Source organism: Homo sapiens, chromosome 12 (assembly GCF_000001405.40).
Source record: "Homo sapiens chromosome 12, GRCh38.p14 Primary Assembly".
Taxonomy (NCBI): domain Eukaryota; kingdom Metazoa; phylum Chordata; class Mammalia; order Primates; family Hominidae; genus Homo; species Homo sapiens.
Window position 1 is genome coordinate 50840759 of NC_000012.12, and position 23733 is coordinate 50864491.

The window sequence follows — 23733 nt, forward strand, 5'->3', positions numbered from 1 at the left end:
GGGATATAAAGTCAATTGAAGATTTTTCTAAGGTGGGAGAAACCAGATGTATTATCTGTTGCTGCGTAACAAATTATCCCAAAATGCAGTAGCTTAGAACAACAAAAATTTATCTCGTATTTTCTGTGGGTCAGAACTTTTAAGTGTAGTTTGGCTGGGTGTCTCTGACTTAAGGTCTCTCATGAGGTTGCAGTTAGGGTGTCAGCCAGCACTGTGGTCTCATCTGAAGGTGTGATCGGGGAAGATCTGCCTCTAAGCAGATCATGCGGTGTTGCATGATTCAGCTTTTCGTGGCTGTTCAACTGAGGACTTCAGTTCCTCAATGGCTCTTGCTGGCAGCCTCTCTACAGGGCCACAGGGCAGCTTACAACATGGCAGCAGCTTTACCTTAGAGCAACAGGACTGCAGAGAGTGCTCAGGACAGAAGTCACAATCTTTTTATAACCTAATCTTGAAAGTGGTAGCCCATCACCTCTACTTTCTATTTACTAGAAGTGAGTCACGAAATCCAGCCAACACTAAAGGAGAGGGAACTGACTAAGGCTGTGAATACCAGGAGACAGGGTTCATTGGCGGGCATTTTGTAGGCTACCTACCATACCAGAGGATATTTGTCTGCAGATAGGAGTGATCCCACCAAAGACAGGAAATGACAATGCAGGAGAGGAGAAAAGGCAGAGGAAATCCAGGAAGAAGACCTCTGCAGTTATTGATCCACTGCCTTTTTCATTTTATTTGGAGAGATGGGGTCTTGCTTTGTTGCCCAGGCTGGAGTACTGTGGCTATTCACAGGCATGATCTCACTACCAATCAACACAGGAATTTTGATCAACTCCATTTCCAGTCTGGGCCAGTTACCCCTCCTTAGGCAACCTGGTGGTTCCCCACTACCCGAAGGTCACCATATTGATGCCAAACTTAGTTGACCAGTTGACATAGCATACTACAGTCCAGAACTCCTGGGCTCAAGCAATCCTCCTGCCTCAGCCTCCTGAGTAGTAAAACTAAAAAATATATTGTTTAAAGCAGTGCTGTATAATAGAACTACAGGCATGTGCCACCGTGCCCAGCCCACTGCCTGTGTCACTGCTATTTGATGACTTGGCTGCATATACTTGCTTTATGAGTATGTTAAACCTCTACTATCTGTCATAGCAAGACCCGTCATCCTTATCACGTTGGCTATGGGTTTAAAAAAAGAAAAAAAAAGTCATCTTGCCTTGTTTACAAAGGCATACACAATCTGACCACATCTCACACACACAGAAATACACACACCCCAACTGTGTTTTTCTCCTCCTAATATCACCTTCCACTAAAATATCTGGGGAATAAGGACTTTGTTTCTTGTCAGCCCTCAGAGATCAGCTCATGCTGCAATTTGTTTCTCCAATATCACCTCCTCCACCCCAATTTCGGCACAGCTCTGAGACTCTGCTCCCTTCCCCACATGTTACCATGTGTAAGCCCCAAACTCATATACTCCTTTTATCTAATGCTGCCAACTGCACCAGCCTCGGAAGGATGGTATGAGCAAGGCAACTGTCCTTTTATTGACCTCTACGTTAACTCTCCACCACCTCACCAACTTCCCACAGCCCACACGGTCTTCTTATTACTGAAGGTGTTGGGTTAACAAAGGCAAAGTTCAGTATAGGTCAAGATAGGAATGACAGAACAATTTAAAACTGAACATTAGGTATCACTCTTAAAAACTCTGGGTTATGTTAAAGAAAAATTATTCAGTGATACTCATTAAAGCACAGCAAGGCAGACTTTATTCAGGACCATCCAGATAGGGATAGGGACCATGGCAATGGGATTTTGTAATGGGTAGAGGGACTGGGCTAAAATCCAAACAGAGCAGAGCCAAGGGAGAATTTACAGCCACGGAGCAGGAGAGACGTGTCAGTGGATGGAAAATTACTAAGAGGTAGCATCAGGAGTAATGGCATTCCGGCTAACCGACCTAACAGGATTCTTGCTGGACAGGCCAGGGTGATCAGACATCACCTGGGGGATAGTGGTGGATGAGGAAGCCGATCAGACCTTGAGGGTGAGGGGTTCTTTCTAAACTGACCTACCTATTCCTCGGCCGCCTCCCACACCTCCGGGCCTCACTCGCGCCTCCCCGCCAGGCCGTGCGCCCCGCGTGCCCAGGGCGGGTGGGAAGTACCTGCCGCCATCTTGCTCACCAGCCTCCAAAATGCGGCTGGGGCTCCTGAGCGTGGCGCTGTTGTTTGTGGGGAGCTCTCACTTATACTCAGACCACTACTCGCCCTCTGGAAGGCACAGGCTCGGCCCCTCGCCGGAACCGGCGGCTAGTTCCCAGCAGGCTGAGGCCGTCCGCAAGAGGCTCCGGCGGCGGAGGGAGGGAGGGGCGCATGCAGAGGGCAGTACCTGTTCGTGCCTGTCTCTGGGGAGCCTCTCTTACCTTTTCCCCACCGCTATAGTCTTTGAATTCGGGTTTCTCCTTTTCTGTTGTCCCAATGGCCTTTAACCAAAATTTTACATACCTAAGCAGTTTCTAGACCGGCTGTAATAACAGTAGTTGTAATAGTGAAATGACACATTTGTATTGTGAATCTGTATTTTCTCCTCAAAACATTCTGGGTTTTATCATCCCCATTTTATAGATTAATAAGTCAGGGGATAAAGAGTTGAAAGGGAGGGCTATTAGGTGACCATTTCATACTATAGTTGAGAAAAATTAGCCCAACAAGTGAAATGGTGAGCATTAGAATTTGCGGCTCTCGACTCACCGTTCCCAGGCTCTTTAACTGCTATTTCACACAGGGAAGAATGTGATACGTGGCCAAAAATTTTTATTTTTATATTTTTGGGGAATAGAGTTTTAAAATTAATGAATTGTGTTGACTTCATGTCTATTTGTAAGTAATCGATTATGGCATATTTGTCTTAACTCTCCAAGTTTCTTTCAAAATATGGGCGTGTCTCCGGTATGTTAGCTTGCTTTGTGTTTTTAACATAGGAATTTAAAGGATTGCATTAATATGTTCAGCTTAGGAAGTAACACATACTATAGATGCTCAGTCCAAATAATATATCATTTTTATTTTTAGATTGTGGAACAGCACCGCTTAAGGATGTGTTGCAAGGGTCTCGGATTATAGGGGGCACCGAAGCACAAGCTGGCGCATGGCCGTGGGTGGTGAGCCTGCAGATTAAATATGGCCGTGTTCTTGTTCATGTATGTGGGGGAACCCTAGTGAGAGAGAGGTGGGTCCTCACAGCTGCCCACTGCACTAAAGACGCTAGGTACGTATTCAGAACACAACTATTTTTATGCTCTTAGGGGATATTTTGAAGTGATAGAGGACCATTTAACTTCAGCCATTTTCAGCTAAGCTATGTTTGCAAATAGCCATAATGCCTTATATATAGTACAGTGTATTTGTTGAAAGGAATCCTTTATTTATTATTATTATTATTATACTTTAAGTTCTGGGGTACATGTGCAGAACGTGCAGGTTTGTTACATAGGTATACATGTCCATGGTGGTTTGCTGCACCCATCAACCCATCATCTAACTACATTAGGTATTTCTCTTAATGCTATCCCTCCCCTAGCCCCCTACCCAGGAATCCTTTATTTTTTACTTTTTTTTTTTTGAAATGGAGTGTCACTCTGTTACCCAGGCTGGAGTGCAGTGGTGCAATCTTGGCTCACTGCAACCTCCGCCTCCTGGGTTCATGCGATTCTTCTGCCTCAGCCCCCGGAGTAGCTGGAATTACAGATGCCTGCCATCATGTCCAGCTAATTTTTGTATTTTTAGTAGAAAAGGGGGTTTCACCATGTTGGCCAGGCTGGTCTTGAACTCTTAACCTCACGTGATCTGCCCGCCTCAGCCTCCCAAAGTTCTGGGATTACAGGTGTAAGCCACCATGCTCGATCATGGATCTTTTAAATTAGAGGCTGGTAAACTTCCTATAAAGGTAGTAAATATTTTACACTTTGAAGGTCATATGGTCTCTCTCACAATTGCATGAAAACCAGCACTGAAAATAAGTAATTGAATGAGTGTGGCTATAATCCAATAAAACTTTATGAACACTGAAATCTGAATTTCATATGTTTAACGTGTCATGAAATATTGTGGTTGATTCAGCCATTTAAAAATGTAGAGTAGGGCATGTTGGCTCATATTTGTTATCCCAATGCTTTGGGAAGCCAAGACGGGAGGATCACTTGAGGCCAGGAGTTTGAGACCAGCCTGGGAAATATAGCGAGACCCTGTCTCTATATTTAAAAAAATTGTTAATGTAAAAAACATGCTTTATGGACTGTATGAAAACAAGAGACATGCCAGATTTGGCCTTCACTATTAGACTCTTTGAAAAAGAGACTCTCTTTGCTTCATCTCCATTGACCCATAAAATCCAACTGCAGTCTGATTTTTGTGGCCAAATGCTGTTAAAGATCCACTTCCATGCCAAATCCAATGACTTCATCTCAGTTCCCATCCTTTTTGACCTCTACAGCCTTTGGCAATGTTGACCACATTCTCTTCTTGAAATTATCTCTTTTCTTGATTTCTAAGACACCATTCTCTACTTTTTTCTCCTGCTTCTTTGATGAGTCTTTGTCATCCTTTACATTGCAGTGTTTTCTAGAGTTTGCCCTCTGCCCTCTGTCATTCTGTACTCTTTCCTAGAGATGTCTAATCTACCTCTGTTTCAGCAATCACCATGTGCTGTCAACTCCTAGGTCTCTCCTGATGAGTCATATTTCCAGCTTTATTGGAGTCACATTTTAAATAAGTCCAAAATGGAATTTACTTTCCTCTGATACTATTTCTTCTCTATTTTCTCAGTTGATAGCATCATCAACAGCTCCATTACCCAGAGAGTTATCTAATTTCTCCCACTTCAGCTATCCAAGTAGTCTCCAAGGCCTGTGAAGGCTCTCTGTGCAGTATCTTACATTTGCTTCTTCTGTCCCTCCACCCTCCCTACTGATTAAAAGTACATCCAGAATATCAGTCTCTATATTCCTAGCTTATGACTTATCATACTTATATTTACACTACTACTTTGATAATAACTATCCTAATTAATATGAAATGGTAGCTCATTGTGGCTTTTATTTCCATTTCCCAAATTACTAGTGATGTTAGGCATCTTTCTATGTGCTTATTGGCCATTTGTATATCTTCTTTGGAGGAATGTCTATTCAAGTCCTTTGTCCATTTTTGAACTGGGCTCTTTGCTTTTTTGTTGTTGAGTTGTAGGAGTTCTTTATGTATTCTGGATATTAATCTGTTGTCAGACACATTATTTGCAAATATTTTCTCCCATTCTGTGGGTCATCTTTTCACTCTCGATATTGTCCTTTGATACACAAAAGCTTTTAATTTTGATGAAGTCAAATTTATCTATTTTTTTTCTTTTGTTGCCTGTGTTTCTGGTGTAATATGTAAGAAATCATTATATCAAATCCAGTATCACGAAGCTTTTCCCCTATGTTTTCTTCTAAGAGTTTTATAGCTTTAGCTCTTAGATTTAGGTCTTTGATTCATTTTGAGTCCATTTTTGCATAAGGTATCAGGTAAGGGTACAATTTCATTGTTTTACGTGCAGCTATCAAGTTTCCCCAGCACCATCTATTGAAAAGTTTGTCCTTTCCCCATTAGATGGTATTGGCATCTTCATTGAAAATCAATTGATCATATAGAGAGGGTGTATTTCTGGGCTCTCAATTCTTCTCCACTGATGTATATATCTGTCCTTATGCTAGTATCACACACTCTTTGGATTAGTATGGATCTATAGTAAGTATTTTTTCTTGGTGGTGTTTTTGTTTTTTGTTTTGTTTTTTAGACAGAGCCTTGCTTTGTCACCCAGGTTGGCATGCAGTGGCATGATCTCAGCTCACTGCAACCTCCACCTCCCAGGCTCAGGTGATCCTCCCACCTCAGCCTCCTGAATAGCTGGGACTACAGGTGTGCACCACCATGTCTGACTAATTTTTGTATTTTTTTGTAGAGACAGAGTTTCACTATGTTGCCCAGGCTGGTCTGAAACTCCTGGGCTCAAGTGATCTTCCCAGTTTGGCCTCCCAAAGTGGTAACTGCAGGTGTGAGCAACTGCATCCGGCCTGCAGTAAGTTTTGAAATCAGGAAATGTGAGCCCTCCAACTTTGTTCTTATTTTTCAAGATTATTTTAGCTATTTGGAGTCTCTTAATATTCCATATGAATTTTAGGATGGGTTTTTCTGTTTCTGCAAAAAAAAAAATGTCATTGGGATTTTGATAGGGATTGCATTCAGTCTAAAAACTTTTTTTTTTTTTTTTTTTGAGACGGAGTCTCGCTCTGTTGCCCAGGCTGGAGTGCAGTGGCGCGATCTCGGCTCACTGCAAGCTCCGCCTCCCGGGTTCAGGCCATTCTCCTGCCTCAGCCTCCCGCGTAGCTGGGACTACAGGCGCCCCCCACCATGCCTGGCTAATTTTTGTATTTTTAGTAGAGACGGGGTTTCACCGTGTTAGCCAGGATGGTCTCCATCTCCTGACCTCGTGATCCGCCCGTCTCGGCCTCCCAAAGTGCTGGGATTACAGGCGTGAGCCACTGTGCCCGGCCCCTAAAAACTCTTTAAAAAGTTTACAGTCTACAGAGCAATATGGGGAAGTCCACTTTTTCCCATATTGGGGAAAAGATTGCTTTGGGTGGTTCTGTCATCCTTTTGTTTTTTTTATTTTTATTTATTTTTATTTTTTATGAGAGGGAGTTTCGCTCTTGTTGCCTAGGCTGGAGTGCTACAAGAAGACATAAATGAATAAATGAAAATACATCCTGTGTTCATGGATTGGAGGACAGTATTATAAGATGACAGAACCTGCTGGGTGTGGTGGCTCACACCTGTAATCCCAGCACTTTGGGAGGCTGAGGCAGGAGGATCACCTGAGGTCAGAAGTTTGAGACCAGCCTGGCCAACATGGTGAAACCCTGTCTCTACTAGAAATACAAAATATTAGCCAGGCGTGGTGGTGGGTGCCTGTGATCCCAGCTACTCGGCAGGACAATCACTTGAACCTGGGAGGCGGAGGTTGCAGTGAGCTAGATCATGCCACTGAACTCCAGCCTGGGCGAAAGAGCGAGACTTCATCTCAAAAAAAGAGAAAAAATATATATATATATATACACATATATATTCTTCAACTAGATCAGCGTGAGGGAGATGCTTAGGTCTGAGTTCTTTCACCAGTAATATGAGGTACGGGACTACTTGGCCAAGTTTAGTTATTAGTGTCTAGTTTTTTACACTAGTTACTGGAAGACAGGCTTGTCCTTTTTCATCAAGTTTATGGTGATAACTTTATGTTTTAAGTATTTTTTGCAGGTTTGGAAACTCTGTTGGAAAGTTGATTTCTATTTTGAAGGCCCCTTTATCAAATAAAAGGTTGTCAGGAAAAAAAAAAAAAGCCTTGCCAAGTCAATAAATGAGATTTATCAAGTTGGATGCTTGTTATTATAAAGTATTTAATTTCACATTGGTAGATATCTTCAAGCTCCCTCATCGACTTCCTGCTGGCCACTGTGTTGGATTTGCCTTCCCCACTTCCCACCCAGAAATCGGTTTAGTCTCTAAGAACCAGTCATGGTCTTTACTCCTTTTCAAAGCACTGGATTCTGATATGCAGCCAGATTCATCACATGAGGAATGATATTTGGGGCGGAGCTGTCTATAGCTAGGTGTCTCTGAAGGGATTGTTTTTGTCGTTGTTGTTTTGTTTTTTGTCTGCCCTTTTTCTCCCTTTCACTGAATGGCTTCCTTATAACATGAACTTACATATGATGTGTTATCATTCTACCTCATAATCTTTCAGTTTCAGCTCCTATTGCCAACTGGCCTTCTCATCAATTTTCATGGTGAATTATCTGATTATCCCAACCCAGCTTTTCAATCAGGTGATACCACCATTGCTCAATTTATGAATAAACCTTTATTAGAGGCCCACCCCTTTCCCAGAGAGCTGTGGTCAGGGGATCTGGGGTCATGTATTAAATGAGAGCACCTTGACAACAGAGTGGGCAGGGCACTCATCCTTGCATAGGATATGGATATGAGTATATAAGCACCAATGGATATTTCTTTTTGTTTGTTTGAGACAGGGTCTTGCTCTATCACCTAGGCTGGAGTGCAGTAGCACAGTCTTGGCTCACTGCAGCATCAATCTCCCAGGATAAATTGGTCCTCCCACTTCAGCCTCCCCAGTAGCTGGGACTACAGGCATGTGCTACCATGTCTAATTTTTGTGTTTTTTGTAGAGATGGGGTTTTGCTATATTGCCCAGGCTGGTCTCTAACTCCTAAGCTCAAGCTATTTTCCTACCTCGGCCTTCCAAAGGGCTGGGATTACAGGCATGAGACACTGCATACAGCCACCAATGGATATTTTTAGAAAAGGGAAAGAGGATACTGTTTTAATTATCTCTATGTAACTGGAACTGAGAAAGAATATGTTGTAGTCCAGCAGCCCACTGATATCTACTAAAACCTAGAGGCTTTTTCGTACAGCCAGTCCTAACTCACATTAGTAGAAATGACCTGTTGGATCTATTTTTCTTTTCTCAGTTTTCTCACTTATGCACTTATTTTCTTTTTAAAGTTAAGGCATAATTTACATGCAGTAAAATTCACCTTTTAAAAAATGTTCTGTTCTACAACTTTTGACAGTGTAGATAGTCATGTAATTACTACAATCAAGATTTAGAACAGTTCCATAACCTTAAATCCTCTCATGACCCTTTGTAGCCAACCCCTGCCCCTGCATCCAGCCCTTGGCAGCCATTGATCTGTTGTCTATCCCTTACAGTTTTTCCATTTCCAGGATGTGATATAAAGAGAGTCATGCAATGTATAGCCATTTGAGCTTGGCTTGTTTACCTAGCAGAATGCATTTGAAATTCATCCATGCTGTTTTGTGTGTCAGTAGATCATTCCTTTTTAAAAAAAAAAAAAGACAAAAATAATTTTATTAAGATATAACTTAACATGTAGTAAAATTCATTATTCTTAAAGTACAGTTCTGTGAATTGGACAAACGCATACAGTCATGTGATTACCAATAGAAGGCACAGAACAAATTTCTTCACCTCCAAAAATTCCCCCATACCCCTTTCAGGTAAACCCCCTCCCTCCTTCATTGCCAGGCAACCACTGATCTATTTTCTGTCTTTATAGTTTTTCTTTTTCCAGAGTGCCATATAAATGGAATCATATGGTATGGAGCCTTATGAGTTTGGTTTCACTTAGCATAATGCATTTGAGATTCATCCATGTTATTATGTGTGTCACTACTATTTGTTTTTATTGCTGAACAGTATTGCATTGTACGATGATATAGTTTGAGTGTCCCCTCCAAATCTCATGTTGGAATGTAATCCCCAGTATTGGAGGTGGGGCCTGGTAGGAGGTGACTGGATTGTGGGGGCAGATCCCTCATGAATGGCTTACAACCATTCCCTTGGTGATAAGTGAGTTCTCATGAGATCTGTTTGTTTCATAATGGATAGCACCAGCTAAGTGCATTGGCTCACACCTGTAATACCAGCACTTTGGGAGGCTGAGGCAGAAGGATCTCTTAAGGCCAGGAGTTCAAGACCAGCCTAGGCAAAATGGCGAGACCCTGTCTCTACAAAAAATTTTAAAAATTAGCCCGGTATGGTGGCTTATGCCTGTGGTCCCAGCTACTAAGGATGCTGAAGTGAGAGGATTGCTTGAGCCTAGGGGGTTGACGCTGCAGTGAGCCATGTTCACTCCACTGTACTTCAGCCTGGGTGACAAAGCAAAACCCTGTCTAAAAAAAGTGTGTAGCACTACTGCCACCAGTGCACACATGTGGACCCTGCCATGCCTGTGCCCCACCACTGCTGGCACATGTGCAGACTCCACTGCACTTCCACCACCAGTGCACACACACATGGACCCAGCTGCACTGCTGCCCTGCTACTGCTGGCACATGCACACAAGCATGAACCCTGCTGCCACTGCCCGGACAAAGTGCTTTTGCCAGCATCCCTCATTGCAGCCTTGTTGCCGGTGGACCAGGAACACCTCAGGTCTTCCAGTGCAGCAGATGCCCGACCATGAGAGGCCAGAGTACAAAGCCATGAGCCTGTCCCAGTCCCCCAGGATTAGACCTTATAGCCCAGGCATGCTGAGCTGAGTCTTGTCCCCCTAAAATCACTTAGAAATGATGCCAGTTGACTAAACCCAACTTATAACACAGTCAAACCCTCAAGGGCATCAAAGAATATAAAAGCAAAAAGCCCCATCCAAAGGACAGCAACTTCAAAGATTAAAGGAATAACAGTCCACACAGATGAGAAAGAACCAGCACAAGAACCCTGGCAACCCAAAAAGCCAGAGTTTCTTCTTATCTCCAAATGACTACAATAGCTCCCAAGTGATGGTTCTTAACCAGACTGAAATGGCTGGAATGAGAGACACAGAATTCAGAATCTGGATGGCAATGAAGATAAACAAGATTCCAGAGAAATCTGAAACCCAATCCAAGGAATCTAAGAAATCCAGTAAAATAATACAAGAGCTGAAAGATGAAACAGCCATTTTAAGAAAGAACCAAACTGATCTATAGAGTTAAAAAAAGAACTCACAAGAATTTAATAATACAATTAGAAGTATTAACAGCAGAAAAGGCCAAGCTGAGAAAAGAATCTCAGAGCTGGAAGACTAGTTCTTCAAATCAACTCAGACAGAAATAAAGAAAAAAGAATAAACAAAACTTCCAAGAAATAGGGGATTATGTAAAGAGACCAAACCTACAACTCATTGACATCCCTAAAAGAGGGACAGAGAGCAAGAAACTTGGAAAACCTATTTGAGGATACTGTCCATAAAAATTTCTGCAACCTTGCTGGAGAGGTTGACATTCAAATTCAGGAAATTCAGAGAAGCCCTGTGAAATATTATACAAGAATACCATCCCCAAGACATATAGTCATCAGATTCTCCAAGGTTAATGTAAAAGAAAAAATATTAAAGGCAACTAGAGAGAAAGGGCAGGTTGCTTACAACAGGAATCCCCATCAGGCTAACAGCAGACCTTTCAGCAGAAACTCTACAAGCCAGAAAAGATCGGGGCAGTCTATATTTAGCATCCTTAAAGAAAATTAATTCCAACCAAGAATTTCATATCCAGCCAAACTAAGCTTTGTAAGTGAAGGAGAAATAATATCCTTTTCAGACAAGCAAATGCTAAGGGAATTAATTACCACCAGACCTGCCTTACAAGAGATCCTTAAGTGAGTACTAAAAATGGAAATGAAAGACCATTACCAGCCACCACAAAAACACACTTAAATACATAGACCATTGACACTATAAAGCAACTACACAATCAAGTTTACATAAACAAGCTAACAACACAATGACAATATCAAATCTGCATATATCAACTTTTAATGTAAAAAGGTTAAACACCCCATTTATAAGGCACAGAGTGGCAAGTTGGATAAAAAACAAGACCCACCTGTACATTGTCTTTAAGAGAGGCACATCTCACATGCAATGACATCCATATGCTCAAAGTAGAGGGATGGAGCAAAATCTATCAAGTAAATGGAAAACAAAAAAGAGCAGGGGTTGCTATTCTTATTTTAGACAAAATAGACTTTATTTATTTTTTTGAGATGGAGTCTTTCTCTGTCGCCCAGGCTGGAGTGCAGTGGCACAATCTTGACTCACTGCAACCTCTGCCGCCCAGGTTCAAGCAATTCTCCTACATCAGCCTCCCCAGTAGCTGGGATTATAGGCGCCTGCCACCACACCCAGCTAATTTTTGTATTTTTAGTAGAGACGGGGTTTCACCATCTTGATCAGGTTCGTCTTGAACTCCTGACTTCGTGAACCATCTTGGCCTTCCAAAGTACCGGAATTACAGGCATGAGCCACCACACCCAGTCTGACAAAATAGACTTTAAACCAAAATGACCAAAAGGGACAAAAAAGAGCATTACATAATGATAAAGGGTTCAATTCAACAAGAAGACTTACCTATCCTAACACTGGAGGACCTAGATTCATAAAACAAGTTATTGGAGACCTATGAAGAGACTTAGATAACCACACAATAATAGTGGGAGACTTTAACACCCCACTGACAGTATTAGACAGATCACTGAGGTAGAACACTTACAAAGATATTTGAGATCTAAACTTGACGCTTGACAAAATGGACCTAATAGCTATCTACAGACACTCCACCCAAAAACAACAGAATATACATTTTTGTAATCCACACATAACACATACTCTAAAATAGACCACACACTCAGCCATAAGACAATTCTTAACAAATTTTTAAAACCCAAAATCATACCATCCACACTCTTGGATCACAACGTGATAAAAATAGAAATCAATGCCACCATCTCTCAAAACCATATAATAACATGGAAATTAAACAATCTTCTCTTGAATGATTTTCGGGTAAATGCTGAAATTAAGGTAGAAATCAAGAAATTCTTTGAAACTAACAAAAACAAGGATACAACATACCAGAATCTCTGGCAAACAGCTAAAGCAATGTTAAGAGGAAAGTTTATGGTGCTAAATGCCCACACCAAAATTAGAAAGATCTCAAACTAACAACCTAACATCATACCTAGAGGAATGAGAAAAATGAACAAACCAACCCCAAAGCTAGCAGAAGAAAAGAATTAACCAAAATCACAGCTGAATTGAATGAAATTGTGACACAAAAAAACATACAAAAGATCAACAAAACCAAAAGTTTTTTGAAAGAATAAATAAGATTGATAGACCACTAGCTAGACTAACAAAAAAAAAAAAAAAAAAGAAGAAGGAGAGAGAAGATCCAAATAAACAAAATCAGAAATGACAAAGGGGACAGTACCACCAACCCCACAGAAATATAAAATACCTTCAGAGACTATTATGAACATCTGAATGTACACAAACTAGAAAACCTAGTGGATAAATTCCTGGAACATACAACCTCAAAAAATAGAACCAGGAAGAAATTGAAACCCTGAACAGACCAATAACAAGTTCCAACACTAAATCAGTAATAAAAAAAGTACTAACTGGAAAAAGTCCTGGACCAGAAGGATTCACAGTCAAATTCTACCAGGTGTATAAAAGAGGTGGTACCAGTCCTACTAAAACTATTCAAAAAAATTGGAATTAGGGACTCCTCCCTAATTCATTCTACAAAGCCAGCATCATTTTGATAACTGAAACCTGCCAGAGACACAATCTAAAAGAAAATTTCAGGCCAATATTCCTCATAAACACAGATGCAGAAATACTCAACAAAATACTGGCAAACTGAATCCAGCAGCACATCAAAAACTAATCCACCATGATCAAGTAGGCTTTATTCCTGGGATGCAAAATTGGTTCAACATATGCTGGACTAAAACAGAACTAAACAAACTAAAAACAAAAACCACATCATCTCAATAGATACAGAAAAGGCTTTTGATAAAATTCAACATCTCTTCATGTTAAAAACCCTCAACAAACTGGGCATTAAAGGAACATACCTCAAAATAATAAGAGCCATCTATGACAAACCCTCAGCCAATATCATACTGAACAGGCAAAAGCTGGAAATGCCCTTGAGAACTGGAACAAGACAAGGATGCCCACTATCACCACTCTTATTCAACATAGTACTGGAAGTCCTAACCAGAGCAACCAGGCAAGAGAGAGAAATAAAAGGCATCCAAATAGGAAGAGAGGAAGTCAAACTATCTCTGTTTGTAGACACTACGATTCTATACCTAGAAAACCCTATAGTCTCTGGCCAAAGGCTCCCAGATTTGATAAACAACTTCAGCAAAACTTCAGGATAAAAAAAAAGTCAATGTACAAAAATCAGCAGCATTTCTATACACCAATGAAGTCTAAGCTGACAGTCAAATCAAGAATGCAATCCCATTCTCAATAGCCAAAAAAAGAATAAAATATCTAAGGATACATCTAACCAGGGATGTGAAAGCTCTCTACAAAAAGAATTATAAAACACTTCTGAAAGAAATCATAGATGATAAAAACAAATGGAGAAACATTCCATGCTCATGGATAGGAAGAATCATTATTGTTAAAATGGCCATACTGTCCAAAGCAACTTACAGATTCAACACTATTCCAGTCAAATTACCGACAACATTTTACACAGAATTTTAAAAACTATTCTAAAATTCACGTGGAACCAAAAGAGAGCCCAAATAGCCAAAGGAATCCTAAGCATAAAGAACAAAGCTGGAGGCATCATACTACCTGACTTCAAACTGTACTGGAAGGCTACAGTAACTAAAACAGCACAGTACTGGTACAAAAACAGACACACAGACCAATGGAACAGGTTAGAGAACCCAGAAACAAAGCTGCTGGCAAGGACATCATGACAAAGACTCCAAAAGCAATTGCAACAAAAACAAAAATTGACAAGTGGAACCTAATAAAACTAAAGAGCTTCTGCACAGTAAAAGAAACTATCAACAGAGTAAACAGATAACCTACAGAATATTTATGAACTATGCATTCAGTAAAGGTCTAATATCTAGGATCTATAAGGAACTTAAATTAGCAAGCAAAAACCAGACAACCCCATTTTAAAATGAGCGAAGGACATGAACAGACACTTCTCAAAAGACATACATATGGCCAAGAAACATATGAAAAAATGCTCAACATCACTAATCATCAGAGAAATGCAAATCAAAACCACAATGAGATACTATCCCACACCAGTCAGAATGGCTATTCTTAAAAAGTAAAAAAATAACAGATTCTAGCAAGGCTATGGAGAAAGCAAATGCTTATACACTGCTGTTGGGAATGGAAATTAGTTCAGTCCCCGTGGAAACCAGTACGGAGATTTCTCAGATAACTTAAAACAGAGCTATTGTTTGACCCAGCAATCCCATTACTGGATATACACCTAAAGAAATATAAATAATTCTACCATAAAGACACATGCATGCATATGTTTATTGCAGCACTATTCACAATAGCAAAGACATGGAATCAACCTAGATGCTCATCAATGATGGACTGGATAAAGAAAATGTGGTACATATACACCATGGAATACTACGCAGTCATGAAAAAGAATGAAATCATCTCCTTTGTAGCAACTTGGCTGGAGCTAGAGGCCATTACCCTAAGTAAATTAATACAGGAACAGAAAACCGAATATTACATGTTGTTATCTCTCATAAGTGGGAGCCCAACATTGAGTACACATGGACATGAAGAAGGGAATAACAGACACTGGGGCCTACTTGAGGGTGGAGAAGTGGATTGAAAAACTAACTATTGGGTACTATGCTCATTACATGGGTGGTGAAATAATCTGTACACCAAAACCCTGCCACACACAGTTTACCCATGTAACAAACCAGCACGTGTACCCCCGAACCTAAAATAAAAGTTAGGGAAAAGATATAAATAAAAGTGTTTGGCACCTCCCCACTTGCTATCTTGCTCCTTCTCATCATGCAATGCTCCTGTTCCCCTTTCCCCTTACCTCATGATTGTAAGTTCCCTGAAGCCCTCACCACAAGCAATGCCAGCACGATGGTTCCTGTGCAGCCTGCAGAACTGTGAGCCAATTAAATCTCTTTTCTTTATAAATTACCCAGCCTCAAGTATTTCTTTATAACAAAGCAAGAATGGCCAAATACATATGAATGTACCACTGTTTGTTAATCCATCTACTATTTGAAGGATATTTGTTTCCAATTTGGTCAATTATGAGTAAAACCACTATAAACATTTGTGTGAATCTAGGTTTTCATTTCACTTCTGTAAATACCCAAGAGTGAGACTACCTTGTCAAATGATAAGTGTATCTGCTGTTTTATATTAAAAAAAAAATAAGTAGAACATTTTTGTGGTTTTTTTGTTGTTGTTGTTACTTGTTTGTTTTTGAGACAGGGTCTCACTCTGTTGCTCAGGCTTGAGTGCAGTGGCATAGTCATGGCTCACTGCAGCCTTAACCTCCTGGGCTCAAGCAATCCTCCCACCTTAGCCTCTCAAGTAGGTGGGACTACAGGCATGTGCCACGACATCCGGCTAATTTTTGTATTTTTTTTTTACAGAGACAGGGTTTCGCCATGTTGCCCAGGGTGGGCTCAAACTCCTGGGCTCAAGCAATCTGCCTGTCTCGGCCTCCCAAAGTGTTGGGATTACAGGCATGAGCCACCATGCCCGGCCTAGAACATATTTAATGTAAGAAAATGAGAAAACAGAAATGAGAAAAAAATAAGAATCATTTATTACACTTCCTAGAAATAATAGCTGTTAATTTTTTTTACATAGTTTTCTAGATTTTTCTAGCCATATATGCAAATTATTTTATATAACAGGCTTATATAGCTAAACTGTGAAATAGCCTTTTACATTAAATTATATAACATAAGCATTTTTCCTTGTCAACATATGTATTTTGCTCCTGTATTCCACTTTGTAGATATGCCAAAATTTCTGTGGTAAATATTTTTATAGCTAAATTTTTGTGTTCATCTTTTATTTCCTTGGGATAAATTCTAGGAAGCAGAATTGCAGAGTCAAATGCAAATGCAGCTTTTTTAGGCTATTGATACACGTTGCCAAATTGCCCATCTATTTACACTTTCTGCCATGAATAAGAGTACCCTTGTTCCTCTAACTCGTCTGCACTGTTATCATCGAACACACACACACATATGCATGCACTCACATAAACATTGCCAATTTGAAGGATGAAAAGTTATCTGTAAGCAACAGTGTATAAAGTGAAAGTTCTTCCTTCCTAATTTGATTCCAGAAGTTAACTACTGTTAACCTCTCGTGGTTTTAATTGTTGATTGTTTCAATTGTTTTGGGTTTAGTTTTTTGCTTGCTTGCTTGCTTGCTTTAAGATGGCCAAGATCGATGAGTTGCTTCTTGTTTTTACCTTTAGTGTCATGCTTTATCAAATCCTTTCTTGCGTCAATGTTATATATTCATCTAGATTTTTTTCTGGTTTAGTTTTTTGTTGTTGTTGTTGTTGTCGTTGTTGTCGTTGTTGTTGTTGTTGTTGTTGTTGTTTTGAGACAGAGGCTCGCTCTGTCGCCCAGGCTGGAGTGCAGTGGCACGATCTCGGCTCACTGCAAGCCCCGCCTCCCGGGTTCATGCCATTCTCCTGCCTCAGCCTCCCGAGTAGCTGGAACTACAGGTGTCCGCCATCACGCCCGGCTAATTTTTTTGTTGTTGTTTTTTGTATTTTTAGTAGAGACAGGGTTTCACCATGTTAGCCAGGATGGTCTCGATCTCCTGACCTCGTGATCTGCCTGCCTTGGCCTCCCAAAGTGCTGGGATTACAGGCGTGAGCCACTGCACCCAGCCCTGGTTTAGTTTTTTAATTCACATGCTAAGTTAATATCCAAATGTTTCATTCCAGTAAGTTTCAAAAAAATTATAAAAGTAGAGGGAATATTTTATCGATCTCCCATGTACCCATCACCTAGCTTCCCGTTATCAACTGATACCTGATCTTGTTTCACCTATACCCTCACCATTCTCCCTCCAATTATTTTGAAGCAAAACTCAGACATATCTCTTTGTGTATCTCTAAAAGATGGGAACTCTTTACTAAATAGATTTGTACATTTAAATATTTAATCCATTTGGAGTTTATTTTGGTGTTTAGTGTTATTTCAGGGATCTAGTTTTATTTCTCTTTTCAAACAGCTAGTTGCCCCAATACCACATATTGAATAATTCATTCTTTTGTCCATTGGTACAAAATGCTGCCTTAATAACATATTAAATTCTCATGTACTTGAATCAGTTTCTGGATTTTCTGTCCCATTGGTCTTTTTCTCCTTCCCTAGATCATGATATTTGTGTTATTTGATATTTTATGTCACATGAAACTGGAATTAAAGTTTTTTATTAATCTAACATGAGAAGAAAACTAGTGGGAGATTAAGAATATGTACTTAGTTAATTAAAGATATTTATAATAAGAATGTTTACTTTCTTTCAGCGATCCTTTAATGTGGACAGCTGTGATTGGAACTAATAATATACATGGACGCTATCCTCATACCAAGAAGATAAAAATTAAAGCAATCATTATTCATCCAAACTTCATTTTGGAATCTTATGTAAATGATATTGCACTTTTTCACTTAAAAAAAGCAGTGAGGTATAATGACTATATTCAGCCTATTTGCCTACCTTTTGATGTTTTCCAAATCCTGGACGGAAACACAAAGTGTTTTATAAGTGGCTGGGGAAGAACAAAAGAAGAAGGTAATTATGGTCTGAATTTTACTGATACACATTTTCCTGATTATGGGCAGAGGAAGGTCAAACCTTTTATATACATTCATGTGCCACATAATGACATTTAAGTTAATGACAGACCACACACACGATGGTGGTCTATAAGATTATTTTTCCGTATTTTTATGGTACCTTTTTTTTTTTTTCCAGACAGAGTCTTGCTCTGTTGCCCAGGATGGAGTGCAGTGGCACGATCTCGGCTCACTGCAGCCTCCACCTCCCAAGTTCAAGTGATTCTCCTGCCTCAGCCTCCCAAGTAGCTGGGATTACAGACATGCGCCACCATGCCCTGCTAATTTTTGTATTTTTAGTAGAGACGGGGTTTCTCCATGTTGGTCAGGCTGGTCTTGAACTCCCAACCTCAGGTGATCTGCCCACATCGGCCTCCCAAAGTGCTGGGATTACAGGCATGAGCCACCGCACCTGGCATTCAGCTAATTTTTGTATTTGTAGTAAAGACAGGGTTTCACCATGTTGACCAGGCTGGTCTCGAACTCCTGGCCTCCTGTGATCCACCCGCCTCAGCCTCCCAAAGTGTTGAGATTACAGGCATGAGCCACTAAGCCTGGCCTACTGTACCTTTTCTGTGTTTAGATATACAAATGCTTTCTACTGTATCACAGCTGTCTACAATACTTAGTACAGCGGAACAGGTGTGTAGCCTAGAAGTAACAGGCTATACCATCTACCCTAGGTGTGCAGCAGACTATACCATCTAGGTTTATGTAAGTGCACTCTTATCATGGTTGCACAACAAAATTGCCTAACGATGTATTTCTCAGAATGTTCTCCATCATTAAGTGATGCCTGACTGTGTTTCACTCTGTGTATTTTTTTATCACTTTATGCCATGAGATTGAAAAGTATTATAGGTTCTTATAAAACACTGAAAACAACTTTTTGAGGGGTCTATTTTTCCTTGTGGGATAGGAGAGAAAATTCTTTTCCAAAGCAGAAATAGAGACTTTCTCTGATTGTACATGCCAAGATACTTGAACGTTAAGATAGAATGATAGTTCCAAGTGTTTCTGTAGTTTGAACTCACAGATGGTGAAGCCAGCTCTGCAGCAGAGTTCTCTATTTTAAGTAATAAGCTTCTGGCTATGAAGAATCATATTTAGTTTCCTTTTAATTTAATGCCTTGTTTAGTATCAGGCAAGATGATTGCGATATATTTTTTTAGTGTACTTAGGGGCAGTAAATGTTAACTGACCCAACTAATGGGAGGAATAAAAACATAGACGACACAGTCTCTTTGGTAATAAGAGCTACCACCATTTGGGAGCATTTACCATGTTTCAGGCCCTGTTTCTGTTCTTGTTGTTATTTAAAACACTTTTTTTTTAGAGATGGGGGTCTCACTCTGTCTCTCAGGCTGGAGTGCAGTGGTATAATTATAGCTCACTGCAGCCTCAAACTCCTGGGCTCAAGCAATTCTCCTGCTTCAGCCTCTCCAATAGCTGGGACTACAGGCATGTGCCACCACGCCCAGCTTTTTAAAACGTATTATGTATGTATAGATGTATGTTTTGGTTTTTTAAGAGACATGGTCTTGCTGTGTCACTCAAGCTGGAGTGCAGGGACACGATCATGGCTCACTGTAACCTTTACCTCCTGGTCTCAAGTAATCCTCCTGCCTCAGCCTCCCAAGTAGCTAGGACTACAGGCATGTGCCACCATGCCCAGCTAATTTTTTCATTTTTTTGTAGAGACAGGGTCTTGCCATGTTTCCTAGACTGGTCTTGAACTCCTAGTCTTAAGAAATCCTCCTGCTTCAGCCTCCCAAAGTGCTGAGATTACAGGTATGAGCCATTGTGCCCAGCTTTTGTTTGTTTGTTTTTAAGAGATGGTCTTGCTGTGTTGCTCAGGCTGGTCTCAAACTCCTGGCCTCAAGCAATCTAGCCGCTTCGGTCTCCTGAGTAGCTGGGTTTATAGGCATGAGCACCATGCCTGTCCTGGGTCCTGTTTTAAATATACTGCTTTATCTTATGCCCCCAATATTCCTAAAAGGGAGTTAATGTTATTTTTACCCCATTTAACAGACCAGTAATTGAGAATCTTAGAGGTTAAGAAGTTGGAACTCAAATCCAAGTCCCAAGTCTTTTATTCTAAAGCCTGAATATTTAATAACTATATTAAACTGCTCTTGAGGGAATCATTGTCCTGTTAGGAATATATGAGGTTAAGTACTAAGACTTCTTTTTTCTTCCTATTCCCCACAGGCCCTAGCCATTTAAATATTTGTGGATTATTTAGCTAGGATGTAGATAAATGTACGAAAGACCTGTGAATTATTATTTTTCTTTTTTTTTTTTCCATCTGTGAATACTTTTTAAAGAAGATAAGGAAAGCAACATGGTGTAGGGAAAGGAACATGGGCTTTAGATTCACGGACTTAATTCTGAATCCCAGCCTGCTGCTCTGTGCTAGCTGAATGACCATGGGCATGTTATTGACTCTTTAATAATAATTAGAACAATAATAGAAGCAACTACCGTTTGTTTAGGGCCCAGTACTTAATAAAATGCTAAGCATTGCAATGCATTATCTCATTTAATACCCCCAGCAACACTACAGAAAATACTATAAAATGAATGAGTAAAATAAAGCTTAAAGAGGTTAAATAAGTTGCTTAAACTAATAAAATAACTAAACGATGAAGTCAGAATTCAAGCCCAGTTCTGCCTGTTGCAAATCTCATGTATTTCCACTGTATTATTAATATATCTTTTTTTTTTTTTTGAGAGGGAGTCTTGCTCTGTCTCCAGGCTGGAGTGCAGTGGCGCAATCTCGGCTCATTGCAACCTTTGCCTCTTGGGTTCAAGTGATTCCTCTGCCTCAGCCTCCCCAGTAGCTGGGACTACGGGCACGTGCCACCACACTCGGCTAATTTTTTGTATTTTAGTAGAGACGGGGTTTCACCATGTTGGCCAGGATGGTCTTGATCTCCTGACCTCGTGATCCACCTGCCTCGGCCTCCCAAAGTGCTGGGATTACAGGCGTGAGCCAGGTGCACCCGGCCTAATATATCATCTTTCACAATGTCATACAGTTTCATGATCTTTAAAGTGAGAGCAATGATACCCATCAGAGAGTTGTTTTGAGAATTAAATTAGTTCTCCAGCAACATGGTAGTTTACATGTACATACCAAGCTCCCCACTGAAAACTATTAAAGAGGGAGAATACATAGGTTAAGGACTCGGTGTGACGATAGAAACTTAGACAGGGAACTGGAACACGGAAGTTGACTTTGATCTTGAGGGTATTCGCCAAAATGTTAACTTTTAATATTGACTTCAGTGGTTTCATAGGCCTTGGAAGGAAATGGTTAAAGAATAAAACTTGTCCAAGTTGGGAAGTAGGGAAGACACTCCCATAAAGCTGGAGTCTGTCCCATGGCTATACTTTAAAAATGAGTCACACTCATGACCCAGCATATAATTTTTTTTTTTTTAAAGACAGAGTCTTGCTCTGTCACCCAGGCTGGAAGGTGGTGATGCGATCTCAGCTCACTGCATCTTCCGCCTCCTGGATTCAAACAATTCTTGTGCCTCAGCGTCTCCAGTAGCTGGGATTACAGAGGTGTACCACCACGCCCAGTTAATTTTTGTATTTTTAGTAGAGATGGAATTTCGCCATGTTGGCCAGGCTGGTCTCAAAACTCCTGGCCTCAAGTCATCTGCCCACCTTGGCCTCCCAAAGTGCTAGGACTACAGGCGTGAGCCCCTGCACCCGCCTTGTTCTTATATATATAGTATACTTCAAATGTGATCTAGGTAGGTTAAAAAAAAAAGGAGGGAAAAATACACATGGCTACATTAATCAAAAGAAAGCTGGATTACACGTGTAATCCTAGCACTTTGAGGGGCTGAGGTGGGAGGACTGCTTGAGGCCAGGAGTTCGAGACCAGCCTGAGCAACATAGGGAGACCTCGTCGCTAAAAAAATTAGCCAGGTATGGTAGTGCATGTCTATAGTCCCAGCTATGTGGGAGGATCACTTGAGCCCAGGAGTTCGAGGTTATGGTGAGCTATGATAGCACCACTGCACTCCAGCCTGGGTAACAGAGAAAGACCCTGTATCCAGACAAAAAAAGGAAGCTGGAATGGAAAAAAGAGAAAGTAGGAATGGCTATATAAATATCAGATAAAGTAGACTTACAGCAGAGAAGATTACAAGGATGGTGAGAGACATTACATAATAATAAAAGGCCCTCAGTCCACCAAGAAGACATAGCAATGCTAAACGTGTGTACACCAAAAAACAGACATATGGTTTCTTAAAAACATACATGTGAACATACACTTACCATATGACCCAGCAATTGTACCCCTAGATATTTATCCCAGAGAAATACAAATGTCCACACACAAAAAAACTATTTACAGATGTTCATGAAAGCTTTATTTTAAAAGCCAAAAACTAAAAACAACCAAAATGTCCTTCAATAGGAGAATGCTTAAATAAACTAGTATAGCCTTACCATAGAATATAACTAAGCAGTTAAAAGGTATGAACGATTGATAGATGCAACAAGTTAGATGGACAAGGGCATTATGTTGAGTGAAAAGAAGCCAATTTTAAAATGTCATATATGATTCCAAGTATATAACAATGAAATGACAAAATTATGCAGACAGAGAATAGATTAGTAGTTGCTAGGGTTAAGAAGGTTAGGTAGCATGAAGGAGATTTTTGTCCTGATGGAATAACTCTATGCCCTGTTTTTTTGTGGTGGTTTCATGAATCTACACACACATTGTATTAATGTCAGTCTCCAGATTTTGATACTGTATTTCAGTGACAGAGATGTAACCATTGTAGGAAACTGCATAAAATGTACACTTGACTTTTTAGTGCTATCTTTGCAACTACCAATAACTCCATAATTATTTTAAAATAAAAAGCTTTTTAAATGAACCACATATAACCAACAAATCCTCACCTCCTATCGCCATCCCCATGTTTACTGGGAAAACTGCCTAATGGAAGGGGGAAAAGCTAGAAATTCCCTCTCCCCAAAATATGTAACTATAAATACCACTCACACGGATTTGCTATCCAAAGTAACACTGAGTAGACTACAAAGCTTCAAGCTGAGAATTTAGTTTAAAACAGGTTCTAGCTTAGTAACATCCCAAGATTTGATCCTGACAACATCAAATGCAAATTATTTATATAGAAACCCAACTTCATCTAAGGCTTCAAAGAATATAACCAGATAAAGTTGCAGTGAAATCGAATGGATTACAATAAAAAGATCACAAATAATTAATATATTTAACATACATATCTAATATAATTAAATATAATAACTGAAATTAATTCAATGGGCTAAAGTTTAGAAGCACTTAAGATCCCACAGATTAAAATCAACCAAATATCAGTTCAAAGATCACCAAAC

At 40.1% G+C, this 23733-nt stretch overlaps 1 protein-coding gene and 1 pseudogene across 1 annotated transcript in view, besides 2 other annotated features; one reads left to right on the top strand and one right to left on the bottom strand.

Moving 5' to 3' along the window:
* RN7SL519P (RNA, 7SL, cytoplasmic 519, pseudogene) lies at positions 740 to 1027 on the bottom strand (annotated as a pseudogene).
* TMPRSS12 (transmembrane serine protease 12) overlaps positions 2168 to 23733 on the top strand; it is a 44959-nt gene continuing 23393 nt past the window's right edge. Inside the window, exons 1-3 of the mRNA NM_182559.3 lie at positions 2168 to 2393; positions 3084 to 3279; positions 18027 to 18295. Coding sequence (NP_872365.2) covers positions 2207 to 2393; positions 3084 to 3279; positions 18027 to 18295 — 652 coding nt within the window. The 5' untranslated portion in view covers positions 2168 to 2206. The remainder of the gene's footprint in view (positions 2394 to 3083; positions 3280 to 18026; positions 18296 to 23733) is intronic.
* Positions 16690 to 17191: an enhancer, noted in NCBI's record as "H3K4me1 hESC enhancer chr12:51251231-51251732 (GRCh37/hg19 assembly coordinates)". NCBI's record gives its function as "activates a minimal SCP1, AML or CMV promoter by ChIP-STARR-seq in naive H9 embryonic stem cells {active_cell/tissue: H9 hESC(naive)}" and the evidence as "EXISTENCE:reporter gene assay evidence [ECO:0000049][PMID:30033119]".
* Positions 17192 to 17691: an enhancer, noted in NCBI's record as "H3K4me1 hESC enhancer chr12:51251733-51252232 (GRCh37/hg19 assembly coordinates)". NCBI's record gives its function as "activates a minimal SCP1, AML or CMV promoter by ChIP-STARR-seq in naive H9 embryonic stem cells {active_cell/tissue: H9 hESC(naive)}" and the evidence as "EXISTENCE:reporter gene assay evidence [ECO:0000049][PMID:30033119]".